At 37.6% G+C, this 16,980-nt stretch overlaps 2 annotated features.

Annotated features, from left to right (window-relative positions):
• Nucleotides 10,385–11,164: an enhancer, noted in NCBI's record as "H3K27ac hESC enhancer chr4:157920440-157921219 (GRCh37/hg19 assembly coordinates)". NCBI's record gives its function as "activates a minimal SCP1, AML or CMV promoter by ChIP-STARR-seq in primed H9 embryonic stem cells {active_cell/tissue: H9 hESC(primed)}" and the evidence as "EXISTENCE:reporter gene assay evidence [ECO:0000049][PMID:30033119]".
• Nucleotides 11,165–11,945: an enhancer, noted in NCBI's record as "H3K27ac hESC enhancer chr4:157919659-157920439 (GRCh37/hg19 assembly coordinates)". NCBI's record gives its function as "activates a minimal SCP1, AML or CMV promoter by ChIP-STARR-seq in primed H9 embryonic stem cells {active_cell/tissue: H9 hESC(primed)}" and the evidence as "EXISTENCE:reporter gene assay evidence [ECO:0000049][PMID:30033119]".

The following is a 16,980-nucleotide window of genomic DNA, read 5'->3' as shown; positions in this document are numbered from 1 at the left end:
TTACTAAACAAACAAATATAAGCATATCAAATTCCAAAAGTTCTAATAATAATATAGATCTTACTGAAGGGGTGGCCACACGCCATATAACAAAGCTTCCTAAAAACAATCTTTCAGCTTCTCTCTTCCCAGGTCCTAGGTAGGCCTTTATCACCCAATTAACTTCGAAAGTCCCCACTTCTTAATATTGATACATTGCAGATAAAATTTCAACATGAGTTTCAGAGGGGACAACCATTCACACCATAGCAAGAAGTCTCTAATTTGTCACATATACTGCATCCCAGAGGGTGAAACACTTCCCTTGGAGACTATTGCCTGTAAGCTGACACTTCAGATACACATTCAAAAAGCCATTCCAGGAGTTTATGAGGCCAGCTGCTTATGGTTGTGTGCTATGTGATACAATCAGTGGATTCCATAAAAAATGGGCCTACTGTCAAACTTCCCTTCATTGGTCGGATGATATGTGTTGTGAGATTTACTACCCGTGGATCAAGTACTCTGTAAGCCTCCAAATAGTGACGTTGGCTAAGACTCTGAAGGCGGGAAAAAAAACCTCTACCCAAAATAGGTAGCTATTTCCATAAGGATGAATTCTGGCCCTTCAAAGATGATGGGGCCTTCCACCTATGGTGGAAAATCATCTGCATGTTCTACTTGAGAAACGGTGCCATATTGGGGGTTCAGCATCAGTCTCCATTGCTGGCAAGTTAGATATTCAGAGGCAGCAGTAGGTTAGTTTTGGTAAGTGAGAATCTGTACAGTTTGGGCACATGCATATTTTCCATTTCTGCCATGATGCTCACCTTATCTGTGAGTCCATTGTGCCAGTTCTTGAATGGCTGTTGACAAAGTCTGGTCAAGTCACTTGGCTCACATAATTGTTCAGTGCCTTTTCCATGGTGGATGCTTTCTGGTGGGCACAAATGTGTGCTTTTCAAAATATCTTCACACTTCATGCCCATTCCTATATACCCACCTACATGCCTCTACCACCCATTTCTCTATCTCTGATTTTTTAATACTTTTCTTTCCAGTACTTTTCTGGCCAGGACATTAGCCACTGGTGAAAGTTTTCATGCCTTGTTTCTCTGGGGTACTTCTCTTTCCACAAAAGTGGAGGCCCAGCTTCACCACTCAAAGTGTCACACATTGGGAATATTTTCCACATCCGTGTTTACATATACACTACTCCCCCAAATATTTTAAATGTCAGAATCACCACAATGGCCAGGACATGTCCCATGTAACCTCTGGTGAAATATTCAGATGTCGGGCCACCAACCTGTGCCAATAATTATCTGCAACCCTCATACCACTTGCGGCAGTATCCTTTATACCAATTAGGCAATGAATGATCGGTCCACAGACCCTCATCCTTCTTCCTGCTCTCTCAGTCCATGTTCAACACTAACTGCATCAGATTAGGTCCTTCAGAAAGCAGACACCAAGTTGGAATTAGAAGTGCAAGAAATTTATTAAAAGAAACATCATGAAAAAATAAAGAAAAGAGGAAGCAGGAGTGGGCAGTGAGAGCCTACAGACTACTCTGTTGGTCTGACATTTGTGAAAGGAGATTGGCAGGAGGATTGGGTAGAAAGAACCTCTGACTGCAGTGCTGCTTTGAGAAAATCTTGGCCAGGCCAGTGGGGAAATTGCATTGTCTATCAGAAGGGCTTCACATCAGGCAGAAATATCTCAACTCCAGTGCCTCTGCCACATTCAGTCACTGACTGAGGGTATCCCAGGGAAAATGTGGTTTCGGTGTGAACACTGCGATAGATCCCAGGTATCTTAATACTTTTATCTAAAAGCCGGAAGAATTAAAGCAGAGATACAATTGCCTTTGTAAAGAAGCTGCAATCTCTCATGTTAATCAGAACAGGGGGCTGTTTAGTCCCTTTTATGGTTGCAGAGTCAACTTTTCTTGTCTGAGCATTGTTTATGTGAGTTAGGAACACCATGGATGGTCTGCCAGCTGAGCCAGTTTTTCACTTTCTCATGATCTTAACAGTGCATTATATTACCTTTTGTTGTCTTTGTGATCTACTAACAGGCCTTTAGTTACTTAACTTACAGGCAATACAGTCTGTTCACAACTATTTACCGGCATTTGATACTACGTTCCACCTCTCAATTTGGCTTCAACACACTTTTCTGATGGAATCACCCAGTGGCGCCCTACTCTACACATGTTCTCTTCTAACTGGGTGCCTTACAATTGCCAGACCATGACTTTGTTAATGCTCTTTCTTTGGCCTAAAATAAGTTTGCCCATGTCATAGCTATTCATGGTCTTATTAATTTCTTGTTGATTTAACATGAAACACTAACTAACATTAGTACAAAGTAATATGCAACTCACATCATGCAGCTACAATAAAAGCGTTGACACGTCAATGAATGACTTTGACATTCTGGTGAAAATGAGTCACGGCACAAGAAAAGTTGAAATGTCCTGAAATCATACAGTTCACATTTGAAATAAACAAGATGGAGGTTTCCTTCAATGTTATCACAATCCTAAAAATTTACAACATATTGCCAATAACAAGTTGAAAAACTGAAACATCATTTCTAACCCACCAATAATAAGTAAACTTTGACCCACCATGCTATAGAAAAAAATGAGCAATTTCTCTTTTCTCTGTATAATTATTTCTCTATTCTAGCAGGTGTTATTACAAAATTGAGTCACAGGAAGAGGTGAATTTAGCTATACATCAAATTAATGTAGGAGAAATTTAATAGAAGGATGTGTCAGATGGTCAGTTTATTAAAATAGTGTATTATTTTTCTCAATTGTATAATGTTTGTGGAATTTGTCACTTTTTAAAAGTTTATGTTTCATGTGATTTCTTTTCTCTTTCTATACAAAAATGGAGTTTATTATCCAGTTTCATTTTTGTAATTTTGTTTTCTTTTAAAGAGAATGCCTCCAAATTGTATAAGTCCAGGTCTGCACAAAATCTGAATCCACTTCTGATTTCTGCATATATGTTAGAATCATCTAGATGCTCTGTACACTAGCAAAAAACTTTTAAACATATTAGTATGGGGTGCTATTTGTGTTTTAAGGTCAGTATGAAAGTATAGTTCTGGTGGGGATGTAAATTATAGAAACTTCCCAAAATAGCTGGGCGTGGTGGCTCACGCCTGTAATCCCAGCAATTTGGGAGGCTGAGGCAGGCGGATCACCTGAAGTTGGGAGTTCAAGACCAGCCTGACCAACATGGAGAAACCCCATCTCTACTAAAAATACAATAATTAGCTGGGCATGATGGTACATGCTTGTAATCCCAGCTACTCAGGAGGCTGAGGCAGGAGAATCGCTTAAACCTGGGAGGCGAAGGTTGAGGTGAGCCGAGATTGCACCATTGCACTCCAGTCTGGGCAACAGGAGCCAAACTCTGTCCCCCCAACAAAATAAATAAATAAAATAAACAAATAAATAAATAATAAGTTAAAAAGATAAACTTCCCAAAATAAAAATTCAAAAATTTTAATTACTCTGTGTTTTTCAAAGGAGAACTTTTTAGGCCTTCAAAATATATACCAGACAGTCTCTGTGGTCAGTGAGAGCCCTTATACAGTTACATCTTGACAAAAGCAAAGACAATTTTGTCCCTTTTGATATACTGGCATTGCAATAGAATAGAAAGATAATAGAGTGAAAATCACTATACCTAGTTGCTAGTTTCATTTCTACTATAAATTGGATTTTTATCTTCCTTTGGTCAAGATCTTAATCAGTCTCTTTATCTGAAAAACTAGAGGGTTGGTCAAAGTTTCTTGCTATCTAAATCATAGGATGATTATCATCAATTCACCAAAATATATTAAAAAACTACCATTACAAAATACATTCTGCTTTGCACTGTGACACAAAACCAATTAAAAATTTCAAGTATTGTAGCGCCTTAGTGAGTGCTCAGCATTGTGAGTCACTATCAGTGTTTGTCAAGCTCCCACTTAGATGTGTCTCTGAAAATTTTCTATTATATTTCTATATATAGAAATTTCTATAAAATTTCTATTATATTCAAGGCAACTCCATTTTTAGAGACAAAAATGGAGCTGTAACTCCAGGTCAATCAGGCTCTGTATTTCTAGTAACATAGAATCAAATAACAGAAGCTTGAATAAGATATAGATATAGATATAGATATAGATATAGATATAGATATAGATATATATTTAAGTAAAACAGATCCAGAGATAAGCAAGTCAGAGTTAGCAATGGAAACTTCATGAAGTCCTTATAGACCTAAGTTCATTTTACTTTCTACTCTGCCTTCTCCAGACCCATGATCCAAAATGGTTGCTGGAGCTTGTCATAGCTATTCTATTTTGTATTTTTTTTGTATTTTTTTAATATTTAAATAACCATTTAAATATGAAATTAAAATAAAATTTAAATAAATAAAAATTTAAAATATGTTTTATTTTTTCTATTTATTTTGTATTTTATTTTTATTTTGTATTTTGTATTGTAAGGGAATATGTGTGTTTGTGTATGTGCATGTGTGCGTGTGTGTGTGTGTGTTTTGTGTACAACGTGTGTGTGTGTTTTTAAAGTCTATTTTCTTTGAATTACGTATTTTTAAGTATATTTTCTCTAAGTGTCACACAACCATTTTTACTACAGTTTATTGGGTAAAATTTAGGCACTCAGCCTTAACTAGCTACAAGAGAGGATGAGGCATGTCCTCAATTTTTCCTGGACTGCAATATGTCCATCTAGCAGTAAGGTTGTTAATACCAACGAAGTAAGGATAGTGCTAGCAGTCTCTGCCACAGCACATTTACTTTACCTTCTAAGAAGTGATTGCAATTTTTACTCTTCATTTCCAAGAATTTGTCTGGGTCCCAGTATTCATCCTCTCTCTTAGGTTTTTCCTATTTTCTGCTCCATTGCCTTAACCTAATTTCTTTTCATTTTCAGGGAGAATGTCTGGTGATTCTTTTGGATATCTGCCTTATTTCTGCTTTGGCTTCTTCCCAAGACTGTCACTCAAATCATAGTCCCAACTTGGCTCAGCCACTTAAGCCAACTGTCACCATTCATGTGACCCACATTCCCATTCCCAAATCCAGCTCAGTTATTTACAACGTGAGCCTCAACCTAACACTCTGGCTCCGTTTTTCTCCAGGAGAGATTATCCACTAACAGCCCAAGCTTTTACAATGAAGACAAGAACTCTAGAGGAAAGCCTTTTCTAAATGATACTAAAAGATAAGTTTTCATTTTCTAGACCAACTGCTCAGTGACTATATTATTTCATTTTTACTTCCTTTATTACCAAAAATGTATTGAATACTTACCATACACTGGGCTTTGATTAGCAGAGCGTTCTTTTTCTCTCATATTGACACATTTTTACAAAACACATTCTCAGGACTTAGCAGTAAAAGTGGGTTAATCGTAGATAACTTTTCTCCTCAACAGAACACTTTGCCACATAAAACAAGAGATCACTGTGTACTTTCACAATGCCCTCCCAGTCTAACATTTCAATATTTCAAGACAGTTATAGCACATTTCCTTATTTATCTCCCTAATTCTTTCAACTCCTAGGCTTCAGTTGTTGGCAGGTATACTTTGGCACTTTCCAGTGGATATTCTTATACACCTTCCAGCAGGAATGGCTTCAAAGATTTAGTCTATTTACTGTTACTGATTATGCAACACATCATTTCTGACAGCCGTAACACTACTTCCTGGAATTATGAGAACACATTGTACTTAACTGGCAATTGATAGAAAAAGTATGAAAACAATTTATCAAGGAAATAGTCTATGATAAATTAAAAATAATTTAAACTATGTCTTATGTTAAATACTATCAAAATATATTTCAATAATCTAGAGGATAGAGGGGCAGAGAACATTTTTTCAAAGAGTAACGTGATGTAATATAGGCTTTTAGTTTCAATGAGATCAAACTCCTGGCTATAAGGTCAAATTCCTGGCAAATCACCAAACATATGAATTTTAATATGAGTCCTGGGGATCAGAAGGTAAAGAGTGACATTATCTGATGGAAAGGGCTAATTTTATGATCCTAAAAATCTGAAAAGTTAATTCTGAATGTCTTAGTACGCTGTCATCCAATTTTTTTAAATTAGATAAAATATGAAAAATGTACTTTTTCTTCTAGAACCTTGAAAACACCTCTCCTTCCCCTTTTTTTCTTTATCATCAAGGTCCTTCAAACAATTATTTATGATTTTTTTCACCCACTTTGTTATCATTTCTTCATTTCACTTAAAATTTTCTGTATAGTATTACCACAAGTATTATTTAGGATAGGATATAATGCAGGAATAAATAAATTCCAAAACTCTATTGGATTCACACACACACACACACACACACACACACACACACACGAAGGAGTGTATTTCTTGCCTACAGGAAGTCAGCTGCAAGGCTCTCCAGGGCAGCTCCCTTCCAAATGAGTCAGAGATCTAGATTTATCCTGTGGCTCCAGAATCTCCATATATAGCCACCATAGTCTAAGTGGTTGAAAAAGAATGAGGAGGATCATGCAACAGATTTTCATTGCCTCCATCCAGAAGTGACACATGGAAGTAATTTCCACTCACAAGCTATTGTCATAACTAATCACATGGCTTTGCCTGTTTGAAAGAGGACTGGTAAGTACAGTGTTTCACAAATCCACAAAGAAGAGAATTGGCTATCAGGAAGCTTTAGTAATGTCTACCATAACCCTTCATGGAAACCACCCAGTTTATTTTTAAATAAAACAATATAGTATTTCCTAAAGCCTTACATTTCTGAATTTTATTACCATTTCTTTCTTGGATTTATTATTACTGTTTCAAAATTTGTATACACTCACAACTCCTTTTTAACCCTTAGCCAAGGTTGCAGACATCTTTTTAATAAAATGAAAGCATAACAAAAATTTATCTTAGGCTCTGTGGTCTGCACCTCAAAGAATTCACCTAGATTTTTTTTCTAGCTCCTTATTCCATACATACTAGCTGTGACTTTGTGTCTCTGTTTCCGGTGAAGACTGGAAACTGTCTACCTCCACACTCAGAAAGGGCACAGAGAACAGAAATCACACTTTATTGTCCACATTAACAGGAGTTTGCTATTACACTGTCTTCATTAGCATAATTTTACTTTCCCTGGAGACTGTTGCACAGGTAAATGATCTGCCTGTTAATTCCAAGAACTTTCTGAAAGACCTATCAACTTTTCAATGGAAAGCATCAATAATTTGAGCCCTAAGATTCTTTAATTTCCTCTCTTCAAAATCCTCATGTTGCTGTTTCCAGCAGTCTTTGACTGTTATATGTGATCATTATGCGATCCTAATCAAGTCCCTGCATTGGAAGATCCAACTTAAACCAAACTTCTCATTTTCAATAAATTATGACCTCACCTTCTCCTGCTTTGAGATACTGCCAAAGCTCTGTGGAGGTGGTATTCCTCCTTACAGAGTAAGCAATAAACTCAGCTTTGCCTTAGCAATGGACTGAGTTGGTAATATCTGGGGAGCCAAGACACTTGATTTCTTACCTGGTTTCTGCCTTTTTGCTTCACTAATTCAGACCAAACCTTTGTGTAGAATGTCTTCTTTTTTCATAATTTAAATTTTACTACTGACTCCATCTTTTATTATTATTATTATTATTGTTATTATTATCTTTGGCTCTGCATTTAATAGCCAAGAGTTGGTCTACTCCAGACTTTCCCATTCACAAATCTGGCTCCTCGAAACTTAATCTGAATTTACCTTCACAAATAACTGCTTTTCTAAGAGAACAGAGCAGAACATTTATTCGAAGTCATGAAACCATGTTTTTCCAGGTTACCCATAGTGGATTGAATTAGTGTCTACCAAAAATTGATGTATACCAAGAACCACAGAAGGTGATATTATTTGGAGACAGTTTTTGCAGATAGTGAAGAATCAAGAGGAACTCAAACTGGATTAGGGTGAGTCTTAAAAATCCGATGACTGGTGTCCTTATAAGAAGTGGATGCGCAGAGATACAGAAGAGAAACACAAAGAAGAAGGCCATGTGAAGATAGAGACAGAGATTGATGATGCTGCTACAAACCAAGGGAGCCAAAGATTGCAGGAGTCACCAACAGCTAGGAAGAGGCTAGTAAAGGTTCTTCCCTAGAGCTTTCAGAGGAAGCATGTCCCTGCTGACACCAGGACTTGGGATTTCTAGACTTCAGACCAGTTAGAGAATAAATTTATGTTGTTTTAGGCTACCAGTTATGGTAATTGGTTATAGCAGCCCTAGGAAGCTAATAGAGATTTTTACCTACATTGGAAAAGTTGGAATCATCTTTCATTATTTTCTCTCCCTTCTCTACTCCTATCCCTTCTTGCTCCATAGCCAAAAGAAAAAAAAATTGCTGTCAAGTCACATAAATTTTACTTTCTAGTGGTCTTCTTATCTAAGTCTCTGTGCTTTCCAATCTAACCTTCATAGCTATGTTAGATTAAATCACAGAATTGTTCTTATTATGTAAATAACATTTTTTAAAAATTCTAATAGTTATGTTTTAAGAATTAAATACAAATTAATTAACTTGACAATTAAGACCCTTGAATGACTGAGCAATATTTCCAGTTATTCTAATCTAGAATCCATACTTTTTGTTTCCTTCTCCTTGAGTACTCTGTATCTTGTTATAATTTGTGAAAATCCAATTTTCTCATTGAGTCGTTTCTGATTATTCTAACCTAACATATTAACTCATTTTTAAAAATCCAATAGCTTTTTTGCCTTTAAATGAGGTATGCTTTGTCTTTAATATATTTGTATGTATCTTCCCCTTGTTCTGTTCAACTAAAATATAATTTATCTACAAAAATCTGTATTTTTTACTTATTTTGTATGTTATGCATATAGCAGACTTATGAATTAAGTTGGTATTTTTTCAGTGAACTTGAATTTGTTAACTAATTTGAAACTGGTAAATCCAGAGACCATGAAATATTGAAAACTTGAAAGAGAAGATACAATTAGCAAACTATTGATCATTTAAGATATGCCACAGAAGGGCAAACTTTCAACACCTCCTCTTTTTTACATAAGACTAACCTCAGTGTTTATTGGCATATTATATTAAACCTTATAATACAAAGAAACTTTTTAAAGCTGTATGGCAATTTTACAACTATCAAGTATTGGGTTATATATTTATCATTATCCTGTGAATTTTAAAGACTAGTATCTAGAGCAAGGAAATGTAGGAAAGATACCTGTGCTTCAGTGGAGAACTTTGCATTATCTAGACTCCAGCCACTCTTCTGGTTATCTGACTCCTCCCACCACAATGAAAAACAAAAACAAGACAGCAGTTTTGTCTATAACTGTGCCTTCTTTTCAATATTTCTGTTCTATAAATCTATCTCTTCTTTAGATTTTTTTTGAAACAGTAAAAATGCCTGCCTGATGTCCTTATTGATTATATGAAATCTTTAACATGTATTCATTTTTATATCTACAGGAGTCATGATTTTACTCTTGTTTTGAAGTTAACTTTTAACAGAAGTGGTTTTCTGTTTCATTCTTTCTGGCATTATTAGAAATCCTGTCTACCATGATAGCATTGGGAGATATACCTAATGCTAGATGACGAGTTGGTGGGTGCAGCGCACCAGCATGGCACATGTATACATATGTAACTAACCTGCACAATGTGCACATGTACCCTAAAACTTTAATAAAAAAAAAGAAAAAAAAAGAAAATAACATTCTTAGATATTAAAAAAAAAAAAAAAGAAATCCTGTCTACCATACATACCATAAGTAGAATGTTGGAAAAACTGGAAAATAATAACAGAAGGGTCACCAAAATAGTAAGAAAACTTCAAAACCTGTCATACATTGAAAAATTGAAAAAATTTGAGGGAAATTTAGTTTAAAGAAGAATAGTCTAAATGGGAAATGACCATTGTTCTCAAAAAACCTATAGGGCTACCATATGGATAAGTGAGTTTTCCGATTCAATCTTTTATCTGACTTTCAAGAAACTCCGATACTAGACTCTGACACTTCCATGGAAGAGGCAATCACCAGTGACTTCACTCACCCCTAAACCCTAAGGAACACAAACTCCCAAGTACTTGGTCCTTGTGTTCAGAGAGAAGGTCTGAGTTTTCGCAGCTTAGCAAACTCAGGAAAAGTGAGCTTTATGACTGCAATTTTTGCTCTGATTTCCAAGTAACTCCAGTCCTAGACACTGACTCTTCCAGAAAGTCAAACCAAGCTCAGGTCAAGTTTTATGAGTTTTTAGATGATAAATTTGAAAAATTGTGTGAAATTCACATATAGGTAAATTTTGACTCGATGTAAATTCAAACTTTTCAACACTTAGAACTATACAGAAATGGTTTGGTCAGCTTTGTGATATAAGGATTTATTTGTCTCTAAGGGGTATTCAAGCCAAGTTGGAAAAAATCTTATTAAAGCTCTTTTACTATTGATTAAATTATTGCCTGTAGAATTGGACCAGATGCCCTATGGAGAATTTTAACCCAGAGTTACTAATTTCATGATTAAAGTACACCTTGGTTTTTGTATGTGCATTTAAGCTCTGGGATCACCAACACCATCCTAAATATGCTCTCCTAAAGTTACTGTAACTCACCTATTGTGAAGTACATGTTAAGGTGAGACTTCTCCCATAGTCTAGGAGTTTTGTCCCAGAATACAAAGCCGATGACAAGGCATGTTAAGAATCTTTGAAGTAGTTGATTTAAGATAGTCACTTGTAGAAAACGGGATGCTTTTCAGCTTTCCAGAAACATAAAAACGTATCCTCTCATCCAACTGGTTATTTGGTAAGCTGCAGAAATTTAGGTATTTTTAAACACAGGACAAAGTACTTAGTAGTTTCTGACCCTCTGGGTTCATATGAGAGTGATTGGTCGAGACCTTCATAATTGATTATTTCCTAGAAGAGTCTAGGATTGGAGTTGCTCAAAATTCAGAGCAAAGATTGCAGCTGCCAAGGGAGAGGCCAGACCTTAAAGAATTCTGTGGGCAAAAGAAGTGTAATGTTTCCTAAAGCCAGAAGCAATAGCTTGGAAAGTAGCCAGGTGTGAGTCATCAGAAAAGAACGCTACACTAACTCCTGCTCCTCTGTGAATACCACTGGGGCAAGAGTTGAGTGACAATTGTAAGGAAAATGTTAGCCAAAAAAATGCATTGCTTGGTTAGGAAACAGTATTGTGTTAGAGAAGGGGGAGGGTGAAGATGGAAATGTGGAATTCTCAAATCCAACATGAGAGAAACTTTATTTGGGCATTTGCCATGACAGAAGGCCCATATTCCATATTGCAAGAGCACCAGTCCCTTAAGAACTTGTCCTTTCACTCTCATTCCTCCACCCTTTCCTCATCCTAGGGCAGCCAGCTGCAGCATGATGAGAAAAGAAGGGGTTGTGGAGGGACAAGTTGGGGAACCTTGTCCCTCCAGTGAGGCAACCTACTTACTCCTAGGCTCAACTGCAGAATTCATGGCTGCATCTGAGCTGGGATGCATTGAGAGACTGGAATTATGACATTCAATTGGAGCAATGTTTTAATAACTAAAAATGAGATTGTGCCAATATCTGAAAGGCACTGGAAGGCTGTGGTCTTTGTCTAATATATTGGTCAGGCACAGGGGATAAGAGCCTAAAACACGGGTTTATAGAGCTGAGGTGAGGGAAAAAAAAGTTGTGTTAAGCTGGCACTCCACCAAGTACAGCTAATTTGATAAACCTGCTTCATTTGTCACAGCAAACTTTCCTGTCCAAACATAAGCTAACCTTTGCTGGTGACTCAGTAAGGTATGGATCTGGTGATAAAATGCCCAATTTTAGAATTTTTATTTCATATCATTCAGTGAACAAGTTCACAGATTTATACTGTTGGGGAAATTCTTCTTTGCATAACTTGGTAAGATATTGAAGCTTTTTTTGTTTTCCGCCTTTGGCTTTGAAATAGAAAATGCAATAGTACATTTTGGACATTAGTTATTTAAGAACATTAGTTTAATTCATATGTTGTTGTGTGTCTGGAGGATTTTTTTTTTCTCCTCAACTTCACATAGGACATCCCACTCTCTATCCACTCTCAGTGTGGACATACAAAGGGGTGGAAGGGAATATTCATATCATAAAAGGGTTATTTTTTAAAAAGTTAATTGGAGGTTGATAGAGTTTGAATATTCATCCCTACCAAAACTTATGTTAAATTGTAATCCTCATTGTTGGAGGTGGGGCCTGGTGGAAGTGTTTGTATCATGGGGATCATGGAGATCCCTCATAGCTTGGTGCTAGTCTCACAATACTAAGTGAGTTCTCACAAGATCTGGTTGTTTAAGTGTGTAGCACCCCCCACCTCACTCTTTCTCGTGCTCCTGCTTTCATCAAGCGACGTGCCTGCTCCCATTTTGCCTTCCACCATGAGTAAAAGCTCAGTAAGTCCCCCGCAAAAACCAAGTAGATGCCAGCACCATGACTGTACAGACCGTAGAAGCATGAGCCAATTAAGCCTCTTGCATTTATAAACTACCCAGCTTCAGGTACTTATAGCAATGGAAAAATGGCCTAATACAGAAAACTGGTTCCAGAAGAGTTGCTATAAAGATAACTGAAAATGGGGAAGCAGCTTTGGAACTGGATAAAAGACAGAGTTTGGAAGAGTTTAAAAGGCTCAGAAAAAGAGAGAAAAATGAGGGAAAGTTTGGAACTTCTTAGAGGCTTGTTAAATGGTTGTGACCAAAATGCTGATAGTGATAAGGACAGTGAAGTCCAGGCTGATAAGGTCTCAAATGGAAATGAGGAACTTATTGGTAACTACAGCAAAAGTAATGCATATTATGCCTTAGCAAAGAGTTTAGCTGCATTCAGTTCATACCCTAAGTATCTGTGGAAGTTTGAACTTCAGAGTGATGATTTAGTGTACCAAGCAGAAGAAATTTCTAAGCAGCAAGGTGTTCAAGATATGGCCTGGCTGCTTCTAACAACCTAACTCAGATGTGGGAGCAAAGAAATGACTAAAAGTTGGAATTTATATTCAAAATGATAGCAGAGTGTAAACATTTGGAAAATTTGAAGCCTGGCCATATGGCAGAGAAAGAAAAAGCTTTTTTGGGGAGAGAAATCCAAGCAGGCTGTGGAGCAACCACTTGCTAGAAAGATTTGCATAACTAATAAGGAACCAGGTGCTGATAGCCAAGACAATGGGAAAAAGGTCTCAAAGGCATTTCAGAGATCTCTGAGGCAGCCCCTCTCATCACAGGCCCTGAGGCCTAGGGGGACTGAATGGTTTTGTGGGCCAGGCCTACAGCCCTGCTGCCTTGCACAGCCTCAGGACACTGCTCTTGGCATCCAGGCTGCTCCAGATCCAGCTTTAGCTCAAAGGCACCCAGGTACAGCTCAGCCACTGTTTGCTGGAGGCCACAAGCTATAAGCCTTGGTTGTTTCCATGTGGTGTTAAGCCTGTGAGAGCACAGAGTACCAAAGTGAAGGAGGCTTGGCAGCCTCTGCCTAGATTTCAGAGGATGTATGAGAAACCCTGGGTGCCCAGGCAGAAGCCTGCTGTGAGGAGAAGAAGCACTCACAGAAAACCTTTACTAGAGAAGTGTGGAGGGGAAATGTGGGATTGGAGCCCCCACACAGGGTCCCCACTGGGGCAATGCCTAGTAGAGCTGTGGGAAAAAGGCCACCACCCTCCAGATCCCTGAATGTTAGAGCCACAAGCGGCTTGTAACTTCAGTGAGGAACAGCCAGAAGGGTGGAGCTGCCCAAGGCCTTGGGAGTGCACCCCTTGCTTCAGTGTGCCCTCAGTGTGGGACATGGAATCAGAGGAGATTGTTTTGGAGCCTTAAGATTTAATGACTGCCCTATTGTGTTTTGAACTTGTGTGGGTCCTGTACCCCCTTTCTTTTAGCCAATTTTTCCCTCTTAGAATGAGAATGTTTACCAGATGCCTGTACACCCACTGTATCTTGGGATTTGATTTTATAGATGCACAGGTGGAAGGAACTCCTTTGCAAATGAGACTTTGGACTTTGGACCTCAGGCTTTTGATTGAGTTGATGCTGAACTAAGATTTTGGGGGATTGTTGAGAAGGCATGATTATATTGTGCAATGTAAGGAGGACACAAGATTTAGTGGGCCAAGGGCAGAAAGATAGTTTGAATATATATCCCTGCCAAATCTCTAGTTGAATTGTAATCTCCAATGTTGGAGGAGAGGCCTGGTGGGAGGTGTTTGGGTCATGGGGGTGGATCCCTCTTGGCTTGGTGCTGTCCTCGCAATAGTGAGTGAGTTCTCACAAGATCTGGTTGTTTAAGTTTGTGGTAACTTCCCTGTCCCCGCAGCCAGCCTCCACCAACCCTCTTGCTCCTGCTTTCAGCATGTAATGAGCCTGTTCCTGCTTCACCATCCACCATGAGTTAAAGCTCCATGAGGCCACCCCAGAAGCCAAACAGATGATAGTGTCATGGTCCTAACTTGGCCTTCTCTGCCACTCTGGGAGAATGGGGCAGTGGGATCAAGAAAGGGATGGCCAAAGGCCAGGAAAGCCGCTATGAGGGATTCAGAGGACTGTGGGGATGGGTGGGAAAAAAGATTGAAAAAGGGAGGGTCAGAGAAGGAATTGCTACAAGTTTCACCCCTAGAAGGAAGTCCCCATGTCTGGAAACTGAGGTAGCGACAATATGGAAAGAAATTGGAGCCACCCAAAAATCTTTAGCTCCCTTTGTACTCTGTGTGGGACAAAGTATCCCTCTGCTTTCCTTCTTGGCCTGACTCTAATTCTGTCCTCACCCTGCAACTGGAGTATCTTCCTAAAACATTGTTTGAATCAAGTCATTCTTCCTATTTTTCCTTGCCCCTAGGTCAAAGTCCCAACTCTAGACCAGGCTTGCAAACCCTATTTACCTCTCTAGCCTTAGTGTTGACCTCTCCCGTTCCTTAGTCCTTAAGAGCCAGATAAAATTGCATATCTTTGTTTCAATCCCCTTAGTAAGCCATGCTCCTTTTTGCCTTCAGGTCTGAACATATGATATTTTTTTCTTATTAGAATGTTCTCAGTATATGTATATTCTATAAATTCCAGCTATCTCTGCTTAGAAATACTTCTGTCTAGAAAAGCCATCCCTGCTGCCCAATCTGGGTTAAGCTTCCTATCTAATATTATTCAGATGCCTATACTTTTTCTTTCATAGTACTTGGCAACTTGTGCTAGAATAGCTTACACACACACCTGCCTCTTCCACCTGAAGCCGGCTCTGCACTTTCGGGGAGCTCTTCTTCACTAGTTGATCCTTAGTACCTAGCATTTACCTGGCACCCATTATATACTCAACAAACTGTAGTGAATGGTTGAATATTAGGTTTAGTAGAGAACACTAGATCGTTGAAACAAAAATAAAATTTGAGGTTCTTACCTCTGATAACAGAAACAAACCCTGTGTTGATTTTCTAATACCTCTTCTACAATTCTAGAGTTGATCTCAATCTCCATTTGATCAAATTAGTACAAGGACCTTTATCTGTGTTTCTGCGGTTTTCATATTTATTTTTTACAGAACTTCTACATTTTATTATAAATATTTAGTTATGAATCTGATCCCTCATTAGACATTCAACTGTTAAGAAACTAAACATATATTTCTTTATTTTTGTATTGGGTTACCCACATAGTAGGTATTCAATTAAGTGCTTGCCCATGTTTAAAGAGTACACTTACAAAAAAAATCCTTTCAGAAAAATAATTCCTCTAGAGGCTAACCTACATCATTACCTGTTTTTTTTTAATAAAACTCTTAAGTTATAAACCACAGTTCAGCAAAATATTTAAAGTGAGAACTAAATTTTGGTTTGTTAACCTTATTATGTGATATTAACAATAAAACACTGTCTTTTTATGCCTTTATATTGATGAGAAGGGAAAGATGTAAAAAATGAATTATTAATACCTTTAAAATATTAATTCACTTTATTCTAATACTTTTGATCTCTTAATGTATGACTTATAAGAAATAATAATTCCTTAATTAACACCTAAAAGGAAAGCATTTTCAGGCTTTTGTAGGTATATTAGCATATGTTTTTATCAAAAATTAAATAATATTGTTGTTTTTCTTACAATGCCCTGCAACTGGTAACAGGGAACATAATGGCTCACTGATACACATTTCTTATTTGAAATTTATTAGATTCTGGATGTACTCACTTGACTGAATGCCATGAGCGTTCAAGAAAACATTTATTAATCCTCTTCCATTCATCTGAGTAGGGCCTAACTTGTTGAAAAATACTTGTTATTTAATCAAAAACGTTCTTAGCAGTTTTTATATTGGCTTCATGGGACAAAGGGAGTAATAAAACATGAGTGACTTCAATTTGCATAATTGTTACATGTTGTACTTTCAAGAATTGCTTTTCTAATAGTTTCAAGATATAACAATAATTTATTGTTTTTTTTGCTTGTTTTGTTTTTGTTTGTTTTATATTTTTTGAGACGTCTTGCTCTGCCACCCAGGCTGGAGTGCAGTGGCATAACTCGGCTCACTGCAATCTCTGCCTCTCAGGTTCAAGCAATCCTCTTGCCTTGGCCTCCCGACCAGCTGGGATTATAGGCATGCAAGCCACCATGCCCGGCTAATTTTTATATTTTAGTAGAGATGGAGTTTTAACATGTTGGCCAGGCTGGTCTTGAACTCCTGACCTCCCAAAGTGATCCTCCCACCTCAGCCTCCCAAAGTGCTGGGATTACAGGTGTGAGCCATTGTACCCGGCCAATAATTTATGTTTTAATCTATGCTTTCACCACAACTATGTCCACAAATTAATATAGCTAATTTTGTTCTTAACAAATATCTATTCAAAAGTACTTTGTTATACTCAAAAGGGTCTTTTGGATATCAGTCCTTATACCAATAGGGCTGACATTACTCAAAATATGTTTGGGGGC

Source organism: Homo sapiens, chromosome 4 (assembly GCF_000001405.40).
Source record: "Homo sapiens chromosome 4, GRCh38.p14 Primary Assembly".
NCBI classification, from domain to species: Eukaryota; Metazoa; Chordata; class Mammalia; order Primates; family Hominidae; genus Homo; species Homo sapiens.
Note: the sequence above shows the minus strand (reverse complement) of the source record. Positions and strands in the feature narration are given on the sequence as shown.